Genomic DNA, 8,226 nt, shown 5'->3' with positions numbered 1-8,226 from the left:
AATGAGGATTTATATAATGCATTTTCCTGGCTATCATCTGATATATTTTCCCTACTAAGGGACTACTGTTGTCTTTGAAATATTAATCCCAGTAATTTCCTCCTTTCACGGTAATATGCAGACAAGTGTTTTACAAGGCTACAGAGTTCAATTTCGCTGTGATTACTGAGTGAGTATTTAGTGACTTCCCAGCTTTGGTTACTTTTTCAGATTTACTTTAGTAGTTATTAAACACCTACTAAAACTAAAACCTGGTACTAGACATGAAAAATAGAGAAATTTCAGCTTTAGGGCACACCAGACAATTAAGCTTAAATAGCTAAGCAAGAAACACACAAACCATTGACTGGGGGTTGGTAAGTGGGATGGAGAGTCAGGGTGTAGAATCAGATGTCTGGGTGTAGGAAAGGGAGAGATGGCATTTAGGTTGGACATTACAGGAGAACAAAAAGGAAAGGAATTCATAGAGAGGATACTGCCTGTGTGTAAGAAAATACGTTCATAAGTCACTGGGAGAAGAAGACATTTTGAAGCTATCAAGAGCCAAGGCCACACACGCACACACACACAAATGACTAAGTTGTGGAAAGAATAAAAAGAGGAATTTGTTTTTACTCTGAAGAGGGAAGAGGGAAGAAGGAAGGGAATGGGCAAGAAAATGAGGGAAGAGAGGAAGAAATGAGAAAGGAAGGAAAAGGAGGAGGCAGGAAAGAAGCTAGGGCAATATGTAATTGTGGGGAGGTGACGGGCTTTTGAGAAGGAGGAGAACTATTATTAAGCAATCTAAAGATACTGTCTTCTTGTGAGGAAGAACTGAGTTTCTCATTTGAGTCTACAGCATGCTTTATAAAAACAATATACTGAGATGATTCGTAATGATTCATAATGTGAATTAATTTAGGAGAAGCAAAAAACAACTGTGACAGTGAGAAGATAAGCTTCTAGAAACTTGCAGCAATCTTAGAGTGAGCTTTAGGCAAAGCAGAAATGGGATTTCCAGATCATCTGACTTAGCCCTGCTGGAATGAAAGACTCCAGCTGCCGTCTAGATGTCACTCACAGTGACAGAGGAGAAAACTGGGGTCCAGCGTGCTAAGGAAGTTTTCCAAGGTCACATAACCAGTCGGTGGTGAGATTTAGGCTAGTGTGATTTACAAAGTCTTCTTGGGTGGGAGTACTCAGGGTTCTTCAAAGCACAGGTTCTAGAGTCAGACAGCATAGATTCAAATGCTGGCCCTGTCACTTACTAGCCATGTGACCTTGGACACATTATACCTTTCTGTCGTTCAGTTTCTTCCTCACCAAAATAAGAAAAAGTACATGATCACATATTGTCGTAAGAATAAATGAGTTAATACATCTCAATAACAAGTTCACAATCCCTTATTCACAATTCTGAAATCTAAAAACTCTGAAGACCAAAAGTTTTCTCATAAGTTTTAGTAAATTATTTGGTGGCAAAATCTGACCTGAACCTATCTGTCATCTTTACTCCATTTGATGAGTTGCAGCAATATTAATGTGCTTGATTGCAGGTGCTTCCTGAGACCCTGCAGAGGGAGTTACACAATATATTTACTCTCTAAAATCTGACAAAATTCTGATTTCCAAAGCACATATGGCCTCAAGGCTTTCAGATAAAGAATTGTGAGAACTGCCCTTGGAACAGTATCTGCCACATTTCTAGAGTAAAAGATAAATTGCCCATGCTCAATGCAGCCTGGAGGGCTCATGCAATGCTACCAATCCCAAAGCCCATTTTGAAGAGAGGATGAATTAAGAGAGAGAAGTGATGCAAAGCTCAACACAGCCAGTCACAGCTCTTTTTCTACTGCTCATATAAACATGGTATTCTGGCTGGAAAGCAGTCTAAGCCTCTTGAAATAATCTAAAGCACTCAGTACTGGGCATCAATATGTATAACATACATAAAAATCAGCCAACAAATACTCTTGCAGCACCTACTGTATGCTCAGCACTGTAAAGATACTACATGGTCCTTCTATGCTTACCATGGAAATGAGGAAGACAAGCATGCAGTTAGAAAACAAAGAAAATGGTACAATAATGTGCTAAATTGCAGTGGCATAGGCTAGATGCTGAGATCAAAAGGGAAGGAATATTTTATGGAAGAGGGAGGATTAGCTGAAGGCAGTTTATTATTAGTTATGTGATCTTGGGAAACATAGCCTCTCTGAGCCTCAGTCTTCACATCTGTAAAAGAGGCTTGTTTTGAGGGCAATATTTTATATACAGTGCCAGATACATAAGTAGGGAATAAATATTAGTTTTCCCTGTCAGCTGGCTCTTGAAGAAAGGTAAAGGCTCATGAATGAGAATGAACATGAATTGTGTGTCCTTACTAGAGTACAAACTATGTGTTGAGAGAACTATGGGAAATCAACCTGGAATGGTGAGGCTGATTTCCCATAATGGAGTGGCACATGGATGGGCAGAGAACCTTAGAAAGTCTTGCCTTGAAGTGATGAGAAATAGGGAACTGTGGATGACATTTAAGGAAAGAATATAAGAGCAGTGCTGAAAATTACTTTCTAGAATGTAGAGGATCAAGAGGGAACCAGGAGCCAGCTAAGTGTCTATAACAGCAATCCAATGTAGCGCACCTGGCCTTTTGTCGGTCGGGTAGGTGAGTAGACATGACATCTTTAGACAAGAGAAAACAACAAACAATTCCTTGTATGTAGCATAGCCATTATCATCTTAATAAAGTCTGTTTCATTGCAACCTGATAGGCAAGTGCTTGGGACAAATGAAAGCTCAAAATTCTTTACCTAGTTCTCAAAAAGACTTACATACATGCCGGGCTGAGTAGTGTGGTAGATGAAAAATAGGGCATTTTCAATCTAATTAAACTAAAGAGCTTCTGCACAGCAACACAAACTACCATCAGAGTGAACAGGCAACCTACAGAATGGGAGAAAATTTTTGCTATCTACTCATCTGACAAAGGGCTAATATCCAGAATCTACAAAGAAACAAACTTACAAGAAAAAAACAAACAACCCCATCAACAAGTGGGCAAAGGATATGAACAGACACTTCTCAAAAGAAGACATTTATGCAGCCAAAAGACACATGAAAAAATGCTCATCATCACTGGCCATCAGAGAAATGCAAATCAAAACCACAATGAGATACCATCTCACACCAGTTAGAATGGCGATCATTAAAAAGTCAGGAAACAACAGGTGCTGGAGAGGATGTGGAGAAATAGGAACACTTTTACACTGTTGGTGGGACTGTAAACTAGTTCAACCATTGTGGAAGTCAGTGTGGTGATTCCTCAAGGATCTAGAACTAGAAATACCATTTGACCCAGCCATCCCATTACTGGGTATATACCCAAAGGATTATAAATCATGCTGCTATAAAGACACATGCACACGTTTATTGCGGCATTATTCACAATAGCAAAGACTTGGAACCAACCCAAATGTCCATCAATGATAGACTGGCTTAAGAAAATGTGGCATATATACACCATGGAATACTATGCAGCCATAAAAAAGGATGAGTTCATGTCCTTTGTAGGGACATGGGTGAAGCTGGAAACCATCATTCTCAGCAAACTTTCTCAAGGACAAAAAACCAAACAGCCCATGTTCCCCCTCATAGGTGAAAATTGAACAATGAGAACACATGGACACAGAAAGGGGAACATCACACACTGGGGCCTGTTCAGGGCCCTCAGGGGGAGGGGGGAGGGATAGCATTAGAAGATATACCTAATGTAAATGACGAGTTAATGGGTGCAGCACACCAACATGGCACATGTATACATATGTAACAAACCTGCACATTGTGCACATGTACCCTAGAACTTAAGGTATAATAATAATTTAAAGAAAAGAAAAATAGGGCATTTTCTAAACATAGCACTAATTCTTTGAGCAGTTCAGAACAGCCAGGGCTAGGCAGTAGCCCAGGGTCTCAAGTGTGAGAGAAATGTATTCTGCCCTCCTAAGATAATCAAGGTCAAGGCAACCTTCTGCAGCTATGTACAACTTTTCCTTCTCCTGCTCTGTTACTCTGTCCTGTTCAGAGTGCACTTCTGGGTTGCAGGGACACAATGACTGTCATGTAATGTGAGGATTTACCTCAGCCAGTGGACTAACATGAGAAACCTGTTCTTAGAGCATGGCTCCCAGATAGGCAACAACACAGGCAAGACACACACACCATGTTTTATTTGTGTGAATGAAATCACACAATCAAAATTCAGTGTTTTGGAAAGTTAGGTGATTTTCCCCCTGTCTCATGTAACACACGTGGCTTACTATGCATTCCTCAAGTCTTCAAGTCTCCTTGATGATAAAGGGCTGCTTGACGCAACTATCAAACTGACATAACACCTAGCAGGTATTTTTAAATTTTTTAAATACATGTTAATTGATCTTGTCCCACTTGTGCAGTAAAGCAAATGTGTCTCTCTTCTCTTTGTCTGTGTATTATGGTTATAGACGGACTTAATTTTAAAGAAACCAATCAACCCACCCCTACTACCCACCTGGGGCCACAAAACACTTTTGAATGAGGGAGAATAATGTCAAATATATCAAATACTGACTGGGAACAGCAACTTTAAAAAAAAGGATTGGAATACTTGGACTGGATTGTTTTCAAAAAAGGAGTTGAAATTTATTCTGCAAGCACTGTGCTCAACTAGGTGTGTTCTGTGTGCCCCTAGATTTGCTGATGACATCCTCCTTTAGGAAGACAGATGAATGTGAAATGCCTCACTCATCAAAATTACAGAGAAATAGAATATTTTTGCCTGTTTTTCTTTTTGCCACCAAAGACCCCTTTTACCTGCTCATTTTAAAATTTTATCTAATCAATAATTTGCTTCATCTACTTTAAGCTCAATTTTCTTTCAAAATTGTCTCATATGTTAATACCCAGAAGAAATATGAGTAATTTCATTAAGTTCATAGTTTTACTTCTTGCGATGCCATAGGAGTAAAAAATAAAAATAATTTTTAAAACAGTTTTACTTCAGCTGGGCTCTAAATAAAATCCCAACTATCCCCAGCTGCTCCTTCAAACCTTTATTATTGACAAGACACCTAACTCTACGCCTAACCATGTCCACCCATCTTCCTTCCCTGATCCTCAAAACATGGATTTGATTTTTTTTTTAATGGGTCATCTCAAGTGAATTTGATTTTCCCCTCACCCAACCAGACACCAAATCTGTCCTCTTTCATTTTCTCCCAAGTTGAAGAAGGTCCCTGAAGAAAATCTTTCCATAACTGTTAGTACGCATTTCAGCATATCTAATAACTTAATCAACTTTCATTCTGCTCTCCTCTATCTTCAACCTATCCCTCAACTGGCTATCCACTCAAATTTTTCTTTAATCTCCATCTACAGCCCTCTTTGTACTCACAGACGAGTAATCTACTTTTATTCTCTAACTTTATAGAACAGTAAAATTAAGCAAGTAAAAAGAATAACCAATAAAGGGTTGCCATTTTTTTTAAGTAAAGACATAAATGTAACAGACTATCCTCCCAAATCACTATTATTTCAAAAAAGGACTTAGTTTTTTTTTTTTTTTTTTTAGGAAAGAGCATACTTTCAGAACAAGGATCTCTAATAATCAATTTATCTTTTTTTTAACAAGGATATTATATTATCATTATTTTTGCTACTTGAATGTAGAATAATTTTTAAGAATTGACCGTATTTGGGAGCTGATGATCTACTCTCCGGACACCATTTAGCCCCCTGAAAACTGGCTCTTCCTAACTCCAGAAGCTGTTCTTACAGAAACCCATTAATGACTAATTATCAAATCCAAAAGACACTCTTCAACCCTTCCTCAGCCTCTCTGCAGCATGCTTCTGGATCACTTTCCGACAGAAGTTATCACTACATGTTGGGTTTCCCATACTTCTGGTTATTCCTGTCTCCTTTGCACCTTGCCTACCCACTAAACAAAGTAGGCCCTAGGATTCCATCTCTGGACTTCTTTTCTTGCTGTATTCTTTCCTTAAAGCTTAATCCATTCATGTCTAAACACTGGTGAATTCCTAAATCAATTTCTAGCCCAGTTCTTTTTCCTGAGCACCATATCCATATCTGCAATTGCCTCTGGACATCTTTACTATCTCACAGACAGACTAACACACATTCAAAATGTTAGTGATCTCCTCATTCCATACAAGGTACACTTTTTTTTTGTCCTGTCTCATTGAATAAGAGCACCAACAACCCAAACTGACTTTGAATCTTTACTCTTCCTTAGTTTTCTCATCCAATTAGCAACCAAATCTCACTGTTTATAAATATTTCTCAAATTCATCTTTCTCACATTCCCACTGCCTTAGTTGAAGCACCATAATCTCTCAACTGTACTACTTTAAAGACCTCTTGAAGTTTTTACACAGAAACAAGGCCCTGGCACAATATTTTCCATGCGCAATTTTCTGAGAATTAAGATCCACAAATCTAAGGAAGGTCAAGAACCATGGTCCTTGCACACTTAATAAGAATCAGGTGAAAATTTAAAAAACAAACAAAAAACACAAACAACCAAAAAACCTGGTCCCAAATCTTTCCCTCCCTATGGAACATAGGATTTTTGGGTTTAATATTTGGAAAGTTGCACAAGGGAAGTATTTCTAGTACTAGTAATGTTATTCTTAAGCTGAGTGCTGGTTACACAGGTGTTTAGTAGTGAAAACTAAGAGCCGAACACTTCAAATATGTACCCTTTTAATATACATAGCATACTTAAACACAAAATAGTACCCCAGAATTTTAGGCAGAATAGTCTCCCTAGCATGACAACTCTTGATCTGCCCTTACAGAAGGGCAGCCTTACCTCCTGTCACATTCCCAATTCACCAAGCAATCAGGAATTCAATTTGTAGCTACCAGTTATCTCACAATTCCCCCGCCTTCAGATACTATTTATCTTCCCTGGTACTCATCTTTTAGCTTCATCTTAAGCACCCTCCTCTTGATTTAACTTTTTTCTTCCCTTCTCTTCTAGATACTTCATTTCCCTCTCTAGAGCCTTCTGCATACTTTTATAATTTTCTTGGGAAACAGAAATGGACACTTAACTTTTTTATTTTTATTTTTATTTTTTTGAGATGGAGTTTTGCTGTTGTTGCCCAGGCTGGAGTGCAATGGTGCGATCTCTGCTCACCGCAATCTCCACCTCCCAGGTTCAAGTGATTCTCCTGCCTCAGCCTCCCAAGTAGCTGGGATTACAGATATGTGTCACCACGCCTGGCTAATTTTGTATTTTTAGTAGAGACGGGGTTTCTCCATGTTGGTCAGGCTGGTCTTGAACTCCTGACCTCAGGTGATCCACCTGCCTCGGCCTCCCAAAGTGCTGGGATTACAGGCGTGAGCCACCACGCCCAGCACTGCTTTTTTTTAAAAATGAATTTTTAGGTAAAAATGGCCATACTGCCTAAAGTAATTTATAAATTCAATGCTATTCCCATCAAGCTACCATTGACTTTTTTCACAGAACTAGAAAAAAACTACTTTAAATTTCCTATGGAACCAAAAAAGAACCCACCACATAGCCAAGACAATCCTAAGCAAAAAGAACAAAGCTGGAGGCATCACGCTACCTGACTTCAAACTATACTACAAGCCTACAGAAACCAAAACAGCATGGTACTGGTACCAAAACAGATATATAGACCAATGGAACAAAACAGAGGCCTCAGAAATAACAGCACACATCTACAACCATCTGATCTTTGACAAACCTGACAAAAACAAGCAATGGGGAAAGGATTCCCTATTTAATAAATGGTCCTGGGAAAACTGGCTAGCCATATGCAGAAAGCGGAAACTGGACCCCTTCCTTACACCTTATGCAAAAATTAGCTCAAGATGGAATAAAGATTTAAATGTAAAACCTAAAACCATAAAAACCCTAGAAGAAAACCTAGGCAATACCATTCAGAACATAGGCATGGGCAAAGACTTCATGACTAAAACACCAAAATTAACTAAAACACTAAAGCAACAAAAGCCAAAATTGATGAATGGGATCTAACTAAACTAAAGAGTTTCTGCACAGCAAAAGAAACTAGCATCAGAGTGAACAGGCAACCTACAGAATGGAAGAAAATTTCTGCGATGGCACTATGCAGAATGACACCATGGCACATGTATACCTATGTAACAAACCTGCACATTCTGCACATGTATCCCAGAACTTAAAGTATAATT

This window comes from Homo sapiens, chromosome 9 (genome assembly GCF_000001405.40).
Source record: "Homo sapiens chromosome 9, GRCh38.p14 Primary Assembly".
Classification (NCBI taxonomy): domain Eukaryota; kingdom Metazoa; phylum Chordata; class Mammalia; order Primates; family Hominidae; genus Homo; species Homo sapiens.
Note: the sequence above shows the minus strand (reverse complement) of the source record.